Source organism: Homo sapiens, chromosome 14 (assembly GCF_000001405.40).
Source record: "Homo sapiens chromosome 14, GRCh38.p14 Primary Assembly".
In the NCBI taxonomy this organism is placed as follows: domain Eukaryota; kingdom Metazoa; phylum Chordata; class Mammalia; order Primates; family Hominidae; genus Homo; species Homo sapiens.
Genome location: NC_000014.9, coordinates 88,592,119 through 88,609,628, shown reverse-complemented (window position 1 = coordinate 88,609,628; position 17,510 = coordinate 88,592,119). Strand labels below are relative to the sequence as shown.

The 17,510-nt window shown below is 42.1% G+C and overlaps 1 protein-coding gene across 29 annotated transcripts in view, besides 1 other annotated feature; it reads right to left on the bottom strand.

Moving 5' to 3' along the window:
- The window catches only part of ZC3H14 (zinc finger CCCH-type containing 14), a 64,560-nt gene that overhangs the window by 17,968 nt on the left and 29,082 nt on the right, over positions 1 to 17,510 (bottom strand). For 7 of the 29 annotated variants that reach the window (NM_001326297.2, NM_001326315.2, NM_024824.5 and 4 more), the window contains 5 exons: positions 12,821 to 12,895; positions 7,546 to 7,705; positions 6,569 to 6,801; positions 2,266 to 2,386; positions 226 to 362 (listed from right to left, as the gene is read on the bottom strand). In NM_001326297.2, coding sequence (NP_001313226.1) covers positions 226 to 362; positions 2,266 to 2,386; positions 6,569 to 6,801; positions 7,546 to 7,705; positions 12,821 to 12,895 — 726 coding nt within the window. Of the gene's footprint in view, positions 1 to 225; positions 363 to 2,265; positions 2,387 to 6,568; positions 6,802 to 7,545; positions 7,706 to 12,820; positions 12,896 to 14,517; positions 15,210 to 17,510 lie in introns of those variants that run through there. The other 22 variants (NM_001326303.2, NM_001326298.2, NM_207660.4 and 19 more) reach the window with 7 other exon arrangements.
- Positions 9,298 to 9,577: an enhancer, noted in NCBI's record as "active region_8842". NCBI's record gives its function as "activates an Ori minimal core promoter by ATAC-STARR-seq in GM12878 lymphoblastoid cells {active_cell/tissue: GM12878}" and the evidence as "EXISTENCE:reporter gene assay evidence [ECO:0000049][PMID:35858748]".

Below are 17,510 nucleotides of genomic sequence, written 5' to 3'. Positions count from 1 at the left end.
GTGAAAACCATTTTTAAATTAGAATGGTAAGGTTTATATATTCACTAGTCAAAATACTTCGGAATACTACAGATAGGCACACTTGCTCTTTAAAGACTGGTTGGATTAACTGATCCTGCCAAAATTATTTCTGAAACCATCTTTTGTTTGTTCAATTCCATTTACAGTCACAAAATGCCATTTTATATTTTTTACCCAAATGTAGTAGCACAGTCACTCACTCACCTGGTTTTGGAGACAGTACTGGAATTCTTCTACTCACATGAGTGAAGGGACAATCTGGTTTAGTACACTTTGCATCATATTTACAATTTGGGTGAACAAACAAACATTTTTCAGCAAATTTACAATTGGGGAAGGCTCTACAAAACAAAAAAAAAGCATATTTCATATTCAATCTTCTCAATGCATTATTAGTTCTGTGTATAAGGGCTCTTTACACTCCCCATCACTACTTGTTTTGAGAAATGCAAAAAAAACAGCAACAAAAAGAATATTTTAAAATAAGACCATATATCAAAATAGGACACAATCATTTATTCCAAAGCTTGGGATAACACAAACACAGGCTTTTAACTCAAGCCAAGCCACCAAGAAAGACAAGCTTTTGTGATAAAAATCACACCACTTAATAAAAAAGGTATATATTTTATGCAGTGAACTCATTAATACAATAAACACATCCTCTATGCAAGGCTTTGTGATACAAAAAGACTCATCCCATACTCTCCTTATATGTACAGCTGTATTATTCCCACATCATTTCCTTAAAAGAATTAAAAATGAAGATTCCATCCATAGGACCTACCCCCGGCAAAAAAAAGAAGCCCCAAAAAGCCATCTCATAAAGCTCATTACATTGAGCCAGCCAGCTTGTAAGGAAAAATTTAACCCAAGTCCAAAATGTTTTCATTACCCATAACTAACTTTTCCCTCAACTCCTCAAAATCTGTGTATACTGCGTGTGGCCAAAATGCATACAAACTGGGGCAGTTACCATATACCCATCTGCTTAAACGTACAGAATTCTTAAGGAACCCCAGGTATTTCAGTATCTCACAGGTCCGAGGCACAAACAAAGCCCCCCCACCCTTGCCTCTCAACAAACATACATGAACAAGAAATACGCTACTCTGGAGAGGGCCATGGTAATTGTCACTCCATTTAGTTATAAAACTAAAAACTTGTCCACAGAAAAACAAAAACAAAATAAGGTGTAAGATACAGACACTAAACTGAAAGCCAAAATCAGCTGGCTATGACTTGCAGGGTGAGATGGGGATGGTATTCACTTGCAGGATGAGATGGGGATGGTATTCACTTGCAGGGTGAGATGGGGGATGGTATTCACTTGCAGGGTGAGATGGGGATGGTATTCACTTGCAGGGTGAGATGGGGATGGTATTCACTTGCAGGGTAAGATGGGGGATGGTACTTGCAGGGTGAGATGGGGGATGGTACTTGCAGGGTGAGATGGGGGATGGTACTTGCAGGATGAGATGGGGGGATGGTACTCACTTGCAGGGTGAGATGATACTTGCAGGGTGAGATGGGGGATGGTACTTGCAGGGTGAGATGGGGGATGGTACTTGCAAGGTGAGATGGGGGATGGTACTCACTTGCAGGGTGAGATGGGGGATGGTACTTGCAGGGTGAGATGGGGGATGGTACTCAATTGCAGGGTGAGATGGGGGATGGTACTTGCAGGGTGAGGTGGGGGATGATACTTGCAGGGTGAGATGGGGATGGTACTTGCAGGGTGAGATAGGGGATGGTACTTGCAGGCTGAGGTGGGGGATGGTACTTGCAGGCTGAGGTGGGGGATGGTACTTGCAGGGTGAAGTGGGTGATGGTACTTGCAGGGTAAGATGGGGGATGGTACTCGCACTTACAGGGCTAGATGGGGGATGATACTTGCAGGGTGAGATGAGGGGGTGGTACTTGCAGGGTGAGATGAGATGGTACTTGCAGGGTGAAATGCAGGGATGGTACTCACTTGCAGGGTGAGATGGGATGGTAGTTACAGGGTGAGATGGGGAGATGGTACTTGCAGGGTGAGATGGGGGATGGTACTTGCAGGGTGAAATGGGATGGTACTTGCAGGGTGAGATGGGATGGTACTCACTTGAGGGTTGAGATGTGGGGGATGGTACTTGCTGGGTGAGATGGGATGGTACTTGCCAGGTGAGATGGGGGATGGTACTTGCAGGGTGAGATGGGGGGATGGTACTCACTTGCAGGGTGAGATGGGGGGATGGTACTCACTTGCAGGGTGAGATGGGGTGATGGTAGGCACACTCATCCCCATTTTTACAAGCAGGCCAGTACTTGCAGCGCTCCAAAAGTTTTTCTGGTTTCTGTGCCACACTCAGTTCACTCATCTCAGCTACAAAGGGAAAGGAAATAAAAGTATTTCATTCATTATGATCAATTCAGTACACAGCACCTTTAACATATTTCCCTCAAACCTGTCTTAGAATCTTCTGTTAAATGTACAGTCATATAAAATAAGTGAGCTCAAATTATGGGATTAACACTGGCCATAGAATCCTATAAAAGGTTGCCAGGAAGAAGACAACAGTTCTCACTGTGAAAAGGAAAGAGGACAGTGACTCTGCAACTACGGCCAAATTTTTCACCAAAAATTCTAATTCTCAATACTAATTCATAGCTGAATTAAAAATAGAGAAGGACGTCAAGTGGGGAACTAATAAAATTAAATAAAAACTGAAAACAGGTAAGGTGATAAGGAGATGTGAATCCTCACACGCCAGCAAGATGATGAGTGGCCCAAATACAAAAGGATTCCCACCTGCTGAGCTGTAAGTCCAGGTGCGAAACTCAGCAATGTCTTTTACTTTTTTTTTTTTTTTTTTTTTTTACGACAGGGTCCTGCTCTGTCACCCAGGATGGAGTACAGTGGTGTGCCAGTGGTGTAATCTCGGCTCACTGCAACCTCTGCCTCCCAGGCTCAAGTGATACTCCCACCTCAGCCCCTACCAAGTAGCACGTGCCACCACGCCTGGCTACAGGGTTTCCCCACGTTGCCCAGGCTGGTCTTGAACTCCAGGACTTAAGCGATCCACCCACCTCGGCCTCCCAAAGTGCTGGGATTATAGGCATGAGCCACCGCGCTCAGCCAGCAATGTCTAAAAAGGGGAAAACATTTTTACCTACAATGGGGTCACAAATGCCATCACTTACAGAGACTGGGCAGTTCCCCTAACAGCAAGACTGACTGGGCTGAAGATGATAAATGCAATAAGGGACAGACGGGGAGCAGCAGCCTGGAAAGCAAGTGCACACCCATCCACTCCACTCCCTGTGCCACATCCAATCACAGCTTCGATTACTATGACAGGGCAAAGTGGGACCCCTGTTGCCAGATTTTTATCCTGTTTCAGTAAGCCAAAAATCTGCCTTCATCGAAATTGTAATGCTGGCAATTTATTAAATAACACTGAATAAGTAAAATTACAGCTACAGGCAATAATCAGCTGCTAATTTCTGGACTGAGACACCTTAAACTCCCCACAAAATAGCATCATGGGTATTATGTATTATGGTTCACATTCATGTTCATGAAAGCAAGTATCACTTCAACTGTATTCCTCTAGTCCTCTTGCCAGAGGTCAGTTAAAATCTGACTCTGCCACTTAGTTGCTCAGCCAGACACTCTGTGCAAATGTTAGCTAACTTTTTGGAATTCTGTTTCCTCATCTATACAAAGAGAAAATAATGTCTTCCTTAGAGTCTGATGATTAAACGGAAAAAATGCAAAACAGGCAACCAGTCGTAATAGCAGCAGCAGCTAGTTCTATGAGTACTTACTGTTCCAGTGACCCACATTCTGTCCTCACTACAGGAGAACAAGGCACACAAATGTAGTCATGCAGCCCAGATAGGAGCAGCATCAAAGAGCAATTATGACTATGCCTGATACAAACAGTTTTCTATGCTACTTTAAAAATAGTAAAAGTCCTATTTAAGCTTTAAATAGGATGTGGTGGCTCATGCCTGTAACCCCAGCACTTTGGGAGGCCGAGGCGGGCAGATCACTTGAGCTCAGGAGTTTCAGACCAGCCTGGGCAACATGGTGAAACCCCATCTCTACAAAAAATACAAAAAATTAGCCAGGCATGGTGGTGTGCACCTGTAGTAACCAACTACTCAGGAGGCTGAGGTGGGAGAATCACTTGAGCCTGGGAGGTGGAGGCTGCAGTGAGCCATGACTGTGCCAATGCACTCCAGCCTGGGCAACAGGAGGGATACCCTTTCTAAAAACAAAACAGTATAAGTCATTTTAGTTCTAAGATACAAGAATAATCGGTTCCAAAGAAAATGTGAGATGACTGGAAGTTTCTCTAATTTTTACAGGTTTTTTGTGTCATCCCCGCAAAGTAAATGTGTCTTACCCTTTTCCTATAATAAATTACACACAGCAGACTATAATATATACACAAGAACCCAGTACAAATAAAAGATTAAGAGAATACCCAAGAGAAGCCTAGCTGGAAAGCAAAGTAGCTAGATACTCAGGAACAATATAATACTTTACAAAGAAATGTGATTATTACAATAATACCTTACAAAGAAACTTTATCTTTCTTTTAAAAACATTAAGTCATACGAAGGTCATGCCCCTAGTCTTCACTGGCTGACACCGACTTTGTAAACTATTAAAACTTTCTGTTCAAATTTTAAGAGGCAAATTCACCTTTTATTGAAAGCTATAGGCCAGGCACGGTGGCTCACACCTGTAATCCCAGAACTTTGGGAGGCCGAGGTTGGTGGATCACTTGAGGTCAGGAGTTGGAGATTAGCCTGACCAACATGGTAAAACCCCGTCTCTACTTAAACTACAAAATTAGCCAGGTGTGATGGTGCATGCCTGTAATCCCAGCTACTTGGGAGACTGAGGCAGAAGAATGGCTTTCAACCTGGAAGGCAGAAGTTGCAGTGAGCTGAGATGGCTCCATTGCACTCCAGCCTGGGGGACAGAGAGACTCTATCTCAAAAAAAAAAAAAACAAAGAAAGCAAGCTATAAAATCTGTGCTGCCATATGACAGTGAGTGAAAAGACAGCAGGTTAAAACAGATGTTGTTGTTGGTAGCATCCTTGAAACAACCCAACATAAAACCAACCAGAAGCAATTGCAGTTTCAAACTCCCTGCTCACAGGGGAAGTGGTGCAGAGACTAGAGACTCCTGAGAACTGTTCTGCAGGAGTCTCTCCAGCCACACCCCTATGCTAATCTTACAAAGCTTCATCCTTGAGCAGCAGGGAAACACTGAGTCCCCAGTCAAAGCAATGGGAAAGGAGGCTCACCACTCATCATGGCTGTCAGCACAATGGCCACAGCACTGGCAAGAATTTTTACTAACATATTATTTATGGTGTCACTGCTGCTACATGTATACCCCATAAAGCCTCATATGGACACCTACATTTAAATGAAACCAGATCCTAATAGACCAAAAAATTAAGGTACCAAATTGAAAATCAAGAGTAGTGAAAACACTGGAGTCTTCTCTTTAGACAAAACATACAGAGTCAATAAATCGGGACTGCCTACTGCAGCTTTTACTATTTTTTAAGTTTTTCTTCCTGTTGATAGGGTCAGATTTTCAACTCCCTCCACTAATCAAAACCACGACACTACGTCATTGATTCACAGTAGGAAACGCAACCAATTAAAATAAAGCTAAGTGTTATTGCTCCACTAACATATGATTTCCCTCTGAAGTCTATTCTATTTTTAATGATCGAGAAAGGTATTCAATACATTTTCATATCTCTTCCAAGAAGAGGATTACTCAAGGAAATGTTTCAAAATCCATTACTGTTTTTCCTTTGAATCTGTACGCTTTTAAGATTGAGTAATTATCCCTCCTGCCAATGAAGAGGTGCTTCTAAATATTTTAGAAGATATAAGGAACATAATTACCATTCTCTATCATGAATGGAAATGATCAGTGGCGTTGCAGCTACCACTGATACCCAGTGAAAGAAACGGTGATAAGAAACTGTCACCTGCCAAAAACTATGGTGCTATCTGAAATGAGTTCATCTGAGTTCTGCTAAATATTACTCTTCAACATTAATTTAAACAGTTCCAAGATCTTGATAGATTAGGTGAGAAACTCCTTTCAAAGAAATTTCACTGAGGTAGAAATAGCATCAAATCTAAATTTTTCTCTCAAGTTAATTGCAAGAGACTATTGCTGATAAAAGGGCAAAGTGGCAGTACAGTTTCTGAAGAAAATACAAAGGTAAAGAAGGCAACAAGAATGGTGGTTCATCCTTTAGCCAGCATAAGCGGAAGAGGTCTCTCAGGTTCCATGGCTGAACTCCGTTTTCAAACTGGAGTAACAGCCCACCTATGAAAAAGACACAGGAAAAAGAGTCTGAAATGTACTTGGTGGGTTTGTCTGAAAGAAGAAAAAAGGCCATTACTGAATATAAATAAAAGCAAGGCCTTTAACCAATATTCATTCAAGGTAGAGAAACAAGTCAAAGATTCCCTTCACAATGACAGCACCCTGAAAATCTGAGCTCTCAACACACCGTTAGAAAAGCTACCATTTGGGTCCTCAAGCTGCCTGCTCAGCAAGTGCAACTGCTGTGGGTGGAGGAGACCTCTGAGTCCCTTGTTTGAGGCTGCAGTTTGGTTTACGGGTTTCATTCCTTCAAAGCACATGTCCTCCTCTTGATCTGACATGTATCCTGGGGGGCTGGGGACACCATCCAGCGTCACTATAAACTTGGGACTTGCAGGTTTATCTGGTTGTACAAGATCTCTGCCAGACAGATAAAAAATACCATAGAATTAGGGAAACAAACACAAAACGCTGAGCCCCCTAAAGTGCTCTTCAGCAGAACTATCACTCCCTTGGCTTTGCGTTTGGTTCAATAAAAAAAGACTAGGTAGGGCTACCAGGTGCAGCACTGGTGGGTTCTCTGCTAACACACGATGGCCATGAACAGTCACAGTGGCATCACCAGTGACCCTCCAGCCTGTACTTACTAAGGACAATCTCCCCTCAAGCCTGACCCCATCACCCATTCGATCTTCATAGGGTCAACATGGAAACAAACCAAAAAATTAGCATCAATGCTCAGAACACAAGGGCCAGCAGCATTTATGCTAATTATCTGTATGTTTCTTCTTTTATAGAAACAGTCAATTTTCTAAGGGAAAAATCACCCAAACCTGATCTGCCAACTCTCTTTAGAGCTGACCTGATTATGGTCAGCTGGCTTTTAAACTTGCATTTCCTGAATTTGCATAAAGAAAAGAATCTTTAATAGAGTTAAATCATACACTGAGTTGTAATTTGTAGGTTAATGGATTTCTGAACAAGAAAGATGAACTGGAATTCTTGAAAACTGAATTTGGCTAACTATTCATGGGCTAGCTACTGAATCAATGAAAGCACTCTACGCTAGCGGTTAGGGCGGGGAGGAGGGAAGCTGCAAACGAATGGTTAACCTTTACTATCTAATCACACAAATTAACTACACAAGAAAAAGAAACCATCTACCGTGTCTGCATAAGGTGTCCTGAAAGTACCCGAAGGGAATCTGCAGTCTTCATCCCCGACTCTTGGTTTGGTGCCACTACTACTTCCTCAGACAGCTTTGGCTTCTTCAGAATAAATGATCTTGTGTCTGCATGGACCATGGATTCCATGTCATAGTAATCTGAGCCAAAAAAATTGGCCACAAATGTTTACTTTTGAATATACCTTACATTCCCAACATTATATATGTGAGAAGAATGTCAATCTTTTATATATTCAAATTATTTCAAAGGAAAATCACAACTGGTTCCACTCAGGAAAACAGGGCTATAATTCTATTCCAAACATGTTTTCAAAGAACTCAAGGAGTCCTTCTCGCGTAGGGCACGGCACAAGTGATTCTGATTAACACTCCCTAACCACAGCAGAGAAAGGTTCTCAGGTGAGGCATCTCAACAGATATTAACAATATACCCTTAAAGTACAAAAATCTTTTCTAAAAACCTGGAGAATTTGAGTCCTAATGCTCCCTATAATTAGAATACACAGACTGCTGAACCACTTTTCCAAAATCTGGTTTGTTCACTTCGCACAGTACCACTTAGAATCATGTCCTGATAAAAAGAATTCAAGTGGTATAATTTCCAGTTGGTTATAAACCGAGGACTACTTTAAAAGGTAACTGAAAGGTGAATGGACACTTAAACATATGTATCAAGAAAAACACTGGCCTTTAATGCAAATAACCATAAGCTCACATCATCTACTATTTTATAAAATATGCCAAGACCTACAACCCAGAATGGCTGACCTATCAATACGCCATCAACGGACTGAAGTTAATACACTTCTTTTAAAGCTTAGAGACCAAAATTTACAGGGTATTCATTTATGTTCATTCACTGAGTATTTACTGAACAACTAAGAGAACTGAGCTAGATACACAAAGAAAAAAAGAAAAACAGACACATATACAATTTCAGAATAGCATGACCCAAAAGGGATGTGAACAAGGTGCTGAGAATACAGAACAGCCCACTCCAGCCAAGAACCAACGAAAAGCTTAGCAAGGAGGAACATCTGAAGTCAGCAGTAAAGGAACAAGCAGGAATAAACAAGGAGAGAGACTCGGAGAAACGAACACAGCACTTCAGGCAGAGGAAAACGCACGTAGAAGGAAAGGGGCTTTCACAAGGCCGAAGGCATCTGAGAAAGGTTAGAATGTGGAATGGCTGGAAGGGTGTGTGTGGTGGGCTCAGCAGTACATACCAAGGAAGGCTGACACATATAATAAAGGTTCTTCTATGTCTCAGTGACTCTCGATTCTGGTCTATAATTAGTAAGAAATCAAGTGGCCTGGTGTGGCGGTTCATGTCTGTAATCCCAACATTCTGGGAGGCCAAGGCACAAGGATTCCATAAGCCCAGGAGTTTGAGACCGGCCTAGGCAACATAGTGAGACCTCCCATCAACCAGAAAATAAATAAATAAATAAAATTAGCCAGGCGTGGGAGCACATGCCCGCAGTCCCAGCTACTTGGGAGGCTGAGGTGGGAGAAGTGCTTGGGCCCAGGAGGTCAAGGCTGCAATGAGCAGGATTGTGCCACTGCACTCCAGCACGAGTGACAGAGGGAGACTCCATCTCAAACCAAAAAAAAAAAAAAGAGAAAAGAAATCAAGAGAGGTTCCTAAGGAAGGAAGTGGCCTGATCAAACTGGTTTTTAGAAAAACAGTGTTAAGGAAGAACCAGAGTTCTCGACCTGCTGTTGCCCGGGACAGAGGGTGAGGCTCTGAATGAAAAGATTCTCTGCTGTCTGTCCTGGTCTCACACACCTGACAGGAAGAGAAGACATGCTCCATCCTGGGAAGGGGCGTGCCCGCCTTCCCCAGCAAGGGCAGTACAGATGGTAAAGGGAGACAGGCGGAAGAGAAAGCTGGGATGAGAAACTTAGCAAAAGAAAAAGAGCAAAGTTAAAAGGGGCAAAGATACATTTCCATGTTAGATTTAAAGTCTTTGTGGGACTCTCCCATGTTTAAGAGGAAGTAGAAAATTCAGATTTGACCTGTAGGTGGGGGGACAGAAATAAGATGCTGAGTCAAAACCGAAGGTGACAGAAGTGTTTAACATATTCAGGGTGGCCGTCTCTCACTGAATCCTCACTCAAAGCCTACAAAGTCGGTTTCCTCCCATGTTACAGATGACTGTTTGCAGCTCCAAGTTATTAAATGATTCACCGAGGTCTCACAACTGTCAAAGGTGGGTCCCAACAGTGGCCCAGGGGCTGCTTCACTCCTTCCCACCACTCTGCACTTTCTGAGACGAAGGAGTTCTACCAGTTCATAGGTTGGGTGAACACAGAAGAGATGAAAATAATGCTGAAGGTGGGAGAGAGCAAAGCTAACCTTTTGAGGAGGAATGGAGGAGATGCGCTGACACATGAGAATGAAAGGGAATGAGAAGAATAAAGACAGAGTGAACTGGAAGCCGAAAGGTCAAAGCTTGGAGAAAGTATGGGAACCCAAGTGTAACATGCTCCAGGGTTGAGGAAAGCGTGCACCGGTCCCTCCCGCACACCTCTCTGCAAGCGGAACGTTAGCAGCCCAGGTCACATGGAGACCAGACAGACGGGGGAGTAAGTAACATCTTCTGAGTAGAGACCACAGGCTGACCCCATGCATTTACTTTTTGTTCCCTCCTGAAAGCCCACAGAAATGTCAATAAGGGTTTTGTTTTTGTTTTGAAAGCATAAACTCACAAAGAAAATAAGTGTAAAAAGAAATTTTCAAAGTGGAAAACAGATGATTAAGAACTCAGGGGATCTGTAAAAGCTGAATTCTAAGGCAATAATGAAGCAATCCAATTCAGACCACAAGATTCTCCAAAGGCTCAGGAACTGGCAGTAAAAGGACCTTAGGAAGAAATGGAAGAAATGGCAGGCAAAAAAGAGGTGTATTAGATGTGTCCAAGAAGCAGTTAGTTCTTCTTCAACTCTAATTCCATGTATCTGTTTTCTTTGTTTGAGACAGTCTTGCTCTGTCACCCAGGCTGGAGTGCAGTGGTGCGAGCTCAGCTCACTGCAACCTCCGCCTCCTGGGTTCAAGCAAGGCTCCTGCCTCAGCCTCCTTAGTAGCTGGGATTACAGATGTGCACCACCACGCCTGGCTAATTTTTGTATTTTTTAGTAGAGATTGGGTTTCGCCATGTTGGCCAGGCTGGTCTGGAACTCCTGACCTGAAGTGATCTGCCTGCCTTGGCTTCCCCAAGTGCTGGGATTATGGGCGTGAGCCACTGCACCTGGCCACTGTTTTCTTGGTTTTGATGCTTGCCACACCAATCCCGACCTCTACACTGAAGACACCTGGGATGACTGGTGATGTGCTTTCCTGTAGATAATCTTCGGAGAGGCCTATGGATGAAGCATTAGGGTCTCTGCCAGAAAGATGCTACGACAAAATCACCTGAAGGTACACTGTTAAAAATTTTTAAAGGCAATTAGATTTCCTGATAAATCTTTACCCACTGCATGCATTCTCCCTTGGAGAAAGTGGAGCTTTAGACTCTTCAGAGGATAAGAACAGAGTCCCTGGACCAAGAGACACCAGCCATGATGAAAGAAGTACTGGACTGACAATGGTTGGGGGAGGGTTAAATAAACATTACATAATAATTAATGGTGAGGTGCCTCCCCCAGCCTTCTTTCCCCACTTAAGCTCGCAGAACTCTGACTACCAGGCTATTACTTGAAAAACTTTGTTTTGGAGAAGCTGACCAGCCTGAGAGGAAAGTCTTGAAGGCAGTGACATCAGGGTGCCCACAAACCAGACAGGCAGGACAAATCACTTTCCACCACAGGGTCTAGTTTCAAACAGAAAGTCAAAGTGCCCCATGCCCCAACTCATGAACCCAGAATACCAGTGACCTTCTGAGTGCTCCACTCTTAAATGTAAGACCACCTAGGATCCCCAGACATCAGAGGGGAACCTCCAGCATAAAAGACAGCCAAAACAGACCACTTAGAGAAAACAAGACGAAGCAGGGAGGGGAAAAATGTCAAAACCACCTTTCAGACCACAGAGAAATAACAAAGAGTATTGTGTACACAAAATCAGTATGTTTTTAGAAAATTAATAGAATATGCAGAAACAAAGGGATCTTAGAATAAAAAATGTGATAGGAGCTAAGGACTGCAGTCATTCATAAGCCTCACAGAACTACTTGCTATTTCAAACTGCGTGCACCATGGGTACAATGAAAAGCTGAAGGAGGCAGAAGAGAAAACATGCACAAGAGCTGATGAAGTGGATCCCACACACAGATCTCGGCTGTCAACCTTTTCAAATACTCCTGTGGAGGAAGCAGGACGGACTGCTGGGAGATGAGAGAGCAAAATCACGGGCAGAGAATGTCTGAACACCTCTACAGAGAGAAGACAGGAGGCAGAGAATGAAGTTGGAGGAGTGGGTGACATGCCAGTGGCTCACCAACCCAGTGGGATCTGGCCTCTGGTGGAGGCTGACCCTTAGGGAGGAAAAGCACACTTTCTGAGCTGGAAAGCTGGGGGAGGGTCGGGGAACAGAGTGACTGACTGTGGAGTCCTGACTGAGAGGGGTCTAGGGACCAGAGCTTCCCACAAAAGACAGACTTAGGGGAAACAGAAGGACTGAGATGATTCCGGGTCTCTCATGGTTGCCTGTGTTTATCCTGCAGTCATTTTTAAGACATTGAACATGCATCTGGCAGGGGCTGGGCACTGAGGACAGAGATAATAAAAATGAAGGCGTCAGCTCCAGTCCTGGAGTAGCCCCTGGCATGTGTGTCTGTGGGGAGAGGAAAGGAGACAGGCAAACTAGAGTGGCTCTAGAACACTAGAACAACAAGTTCCAGGTGTGGCCCTGGTGATAAGACTCCAAAATGAAGTACAAGAGGATAAGGCTAACCAGGTGAAAAACAGGATACAAAAGCCACTCATGGCAATGACAAAAGCTGGGTAGAGTGGGAGGGTAAATCAGAAACGCAGGTCACTCCTGACAGCAGGAGAGTGACAGCCGACAGTGCTAGGGACACACTTGGAATGGTGTGAAAGGAACAAAGTTTTCCAATGAGGCAAAAAATTATAACACTATATAACATGAAAGAAATGCAGATCTTATCTCCTGGCCCTAAAATATTTTCACAGATCTAAATATAACATCTTAGGGCAGGATCTAAGAGATCCGAGATACGTTAAATGGGGTGTAAGAAATGGAAATGGCAACTGAAATGGCTGGATTACAGTACAACTTGAAACATTACCAACCTTGACTCATCTGCAGAGTTTCTGCCATTACTGGGTCGATTTGCAGTCGGGATAATAATTGCCTCTGTTGAGTTCCTAGAATATAAATTTTAAAACTTCACTAAGCTTACAACACAGACAATACCAGCATGTGGTTCCCAAAAATCAATCCTTCTGGGTTCTTAACTTGAAGTCTTAAAAGTAACTTAAAGCTTCAACAATTCAATTTAATAGTATTTATAGACCAAAGACATATCCTGTAAGACAAAAAAGGCTGTACTCAGGGTTAAACCACAAATGCCAATTTAAAACACTCCTGGTTCTCCCTCTATGAGGACATCAGTTTTCCTGAATTTGAATTCTGCGGGGAAAGTAAAGGTGGCAAACGGGTGGAAAATCCAGGAAAAGGCACCTTGTGGCCCAGCAGCTCGCATCACAGCCAACTGCACAATAAGCATGGCAAGCACCTCCCTCCATCACCTGAGCTCTTACCATCACGACTCACTCATGACCTTTGAAGATAATCGAAATAGCAAAACAAAACACTCTCATCATCTAAACAAGAGTTCCTAAAAGACAAACTCTGGGCTTCGATGCATGCAAAGAAAACAATAAGACACTCAGCTCTACAATCCACACCCTATGTTAGCAAAGCATGATAATAATTCTTTGCCTCTTCCACAAGAAAAGATGTTCAACTACTTATTTCTTCTAAAATAGGCTCCTAACATTAATTCCTATTAGGTTCACTATTCCTAACAATAATATGCCCAGCAGTCTGACTGCACAAAATAGGGACAAAGAACTGATTTTTTTCCATCCTCGATTTGATGTTAAGCTCCTTGAGGATGGGAGAATGTCACACTTTTCTGTAGCCCCCACAGCGCTTAGCAGACATCAGGCACTCACTTGCTCATTATAAGGTACTGCACTACAGTGTACAAAGGGATGTAACTGATAGGGTTGCAAATACTGAAATCTTACTAAGATGCCCACATGCTGATTTTGGGTATATCCATTACAGGTGGCTTCACAAGGACAGGCTTTGCTTACTCAGTGCAAAGATGTTAAGTGGGCCATCTCCCACCAAGCACCACATTTCATTAAAAGGTGTTTTTAAATTTTAAAACCTATACTCGATTTGAAATTGTATCAGTTAGTTTCCTTTAAAACATAAGTTATATGAAATTTTACTGGTGCGTCCCAAAAAAGTCAATTCCTTCCAGAATTATTACCATAAAAAAACACACATTCTGAGGAACTGTAACGAAGATGACACTTAGGTCAAGTTGCATTCCTGTGGGAAGCTTGGAAAACTGAGGTGAAAAGTTACAGGAAGAATGCTCTTTCCATCCAAATACTGCAACAGGTCTCCTTCACATCAACAGTACATGATGAAAGAATGAGACATTTTAAAATAATTTCACAAGACACATGAAAGACCACACTTCCACATTTCAAGTTTTGCTTCATTGCTCTAGGTTCATCTGTCTTTTCAAAACATCGTTTTAGAGAGCTCCATTAAAGAGGATGGAATTCTGATCAATTCTAGATTGCTAAGCTAAATCAAGCAGAATCCAAATTTGTCATTAAAGGTCCATGAAAAATTCAAGTTCTCTGTAACTTGCTCCCTCCACATCAGAGCTACAGTCAACATACGTGGAAAGATACAGATCAAAGGATGGGTACCTAGAACATATCATATATTAAGAGTTTACCTTTCTCAACGTTTCTAAGGAAGCCGATTATTTTTACATCAGTAGTTCTTGACTGTGATTCAGTATCTTCTTCTTGATCTTCAAACTGTCTGTTGCATTCATATGTTGTTGAATATTCATTCATTTTAACCTCCAAAGATGAAATTTTTGCTTCATTCTTGGACACTCTAACATTTAGATCAAAAAGATTTGCTTCCACTGTCAAAATAGCTGCTTTCATTCCTTTAATTTCATTGATATCAGCTGATATTTTCCTTAAAAGGTGGGAAATATTGTCTAGCTCATTCAGTGAACAAGAGGAGCTTGTTATGGAACCTAAGTCCACTGGCTCCGGTGGAAGAAAAATTGGTAGAGGTGGTGATGGAAACTTTGAAGACATTCTCATAAAGGTGACAGGAACCTCAAAGACATTTTCATAAAATTCTCTCCCTTAAAATCTGATAATTTTTTCTTCACAGCTCATTAAGTTATTTCATCGAAAGTAAAAGCAGTGATCAAGGCTGTTACCTTAAGACGTATTAAGAGCAAATAACATCTTAAAACCTGTAATTCAAAAGATGGGGTTGTACATTTCTAGAGTCAGAATTCAAAACTAAATGTGAAAAAGCTAAACGTACCAGACCAATTGCTCTTCGCTACAACTAAGAAGCCCTAATACGTAGGGCCCTACATCCTCTAAGTACCATCTGTATAGCTCCTCTTCCAGTAAACCCTATTATTACATACAAAATAATCCTGGTTTCTGATTGGCTGAAAACAGACATGTGTCACACAAAGAATTTTCTATTATTTACTTCATATGATGAGAGCACTGAAGCGCTACTTTATAGGTTAAGCAATATAACATTAAGTGCTTTACATCTAAATATGATATGAATTAAATGTACTTTTCCCTTTTCATCATCTAAACCATAACATTTTTAAGCTTCAGATTTCTGATTTGTTTTGAGTTGTATTTCCCCTTGAAATTAGTATATAACATTATTGAGAGTGACAAATCCTCTGGAGGGAAAGGGCGGAGAAAGTAACTGGACCCGTGATCCACACAAACTTCTTTCAAGATACATGTGGTAATGACAGAATTCAACTTCACTAATATAGTATCGTGTAAACTTAAGGATGGGGAAATAAGAACTCAGCCTTGGCTTAATACTAGACCATTATTAGACAGGTGTTTCTTAAATATTCTCTCCCATTTTGTTGTCTTTTTTTTTTTTGATAGTATCTTTTGAAACACAAAAATACTAAATTTTGATGAAGTCCGAGTTATCTTTTTTCCTTTGGTTGCTTGTGCTTTTGGTGTCATATTTAAGAAATCATTCTGGAATCCAAGACATATCTATTTTTTTCCCTAAGAGTTTTGAAGTTTAGGTTTTTGATCCATTTTGAGTTATTTTTGTTTATGACATAAGATAAGGTTCCAACTTCATTCTTTTCATGTGGATATTCAGTTGTCCCAGCATCACCTGTGGAAAAACCTATTCTTTTGCCAATAAACTGTCTTAACACCGCTGCCAAAAATTGATGGGTTGTGAAAGTATGCATTTATTTCTGGATTCTCAATTCCGGTCCACGGGTCTGTATGGTCATCCTTATGCCAGTACCACACAGTCTTCATTACTCTAGCTTTGTAGTAAGTTTTGAAATCAAGCAACATAACCTTGCCAACGTTACTCTTTTTCAATAGTTTTGGCTATTCTCAGTCCCTTTTTATTTCCATATGAATTTTAGGATCAGCCTGCCGATTTCTACAAAAAAAAGCAATTTGGGGTTTAAACAGGGATTGAGTTGAATCCATAGATCAACTTGGGGACTACTGCCATCTTAAGAATAGTAAAGACATCTAGGCTGGGCGTGGTGACTCATGCCTGTAATCCCAGCATTTTGGGAGGCCAAGGTGGGTGGATTATGAGGTCAGGAGTTCGAGACCAGCCTGACCAATGTGGCGAAATCCCGTCTCTGCTAAAAATACAAAAATCAGCCAGGTGTGGTGGCGCACGCCTGTTATCCCAGCTACTCAGGAGGCTGAGGCAGGAGAATCGCTTGAACCCGGGAGGCAGAGACTGAATAAGCAGAGATCGTGCCACTGCACTCCAGCCTAGGCGACAGAGGGAGACTCCATCTCAAAAAAAAAAAAAAAGAATAGTAAAGACTTCCAATCCATTAACACAGAAAATCTTGTAAGGTCCTTAATTTGACAAAGGACGTTTTTACTTTGGTTTACTCCCCAAGCAAACAAATAAGATATGCAACATACAAGGATGCAAGTTGGTAGATGCTGCTCACTATAGTCTCTTAAAAGAAGAATCCTGGCCTGGCACAGAGGCCCACACCTGTCATTCCAGCACTTTGGGAGGCCAAGGCAGGTGGATCACTTGAGGTCAGGAGTTCAAGACCAGCCTGGCCAACATGGCAAAACCCTGTCTCCACTAAAAATACAAAAATTAGCCAGGCGTGGTGGCATATGCCTGTAATTCCAGCTACTCGGGAGGCTGAGGCATGAGAATCACCTGAACCTGGGAAGGCAGAGGCTGCGGTGAGTGAGACTGCGCCACTGCACTGCAGCCTGGGTGACAGAGTGAGAATCTGTCTCAAAAAAAAAAAAAAAAAAAAAAAAAAAGGAATCCTTATAAAGAATGGTAGTCTTTGGTTTCCCAAATAGATGTCACAGTAACAGAATAAAGAAAATGCTAAGTGCTGGAATTTGTAAAATAAAAATCTTTATTCATTTCTCCACTTTATGAATCAGTTCTTCAAAATTCCAGACAGAAAATAATGTTCAAAATTCAAGGCTTTGGATTCACAGACTTTTTTTTAACAGAACCAGCTGGCATATGACATCCATAGTAACTGTTAACAGCAAGACACTCTCAGAAAAGCACCACCTGCAAACCAGCTGGTTCACTAGAGGACAGATAAACAACCTCAAGGAAAAAAGCAGGAAAGAGGTCTAACAGAACGGGTCACAGAGAAACAAGAGCCCATCTGATGGC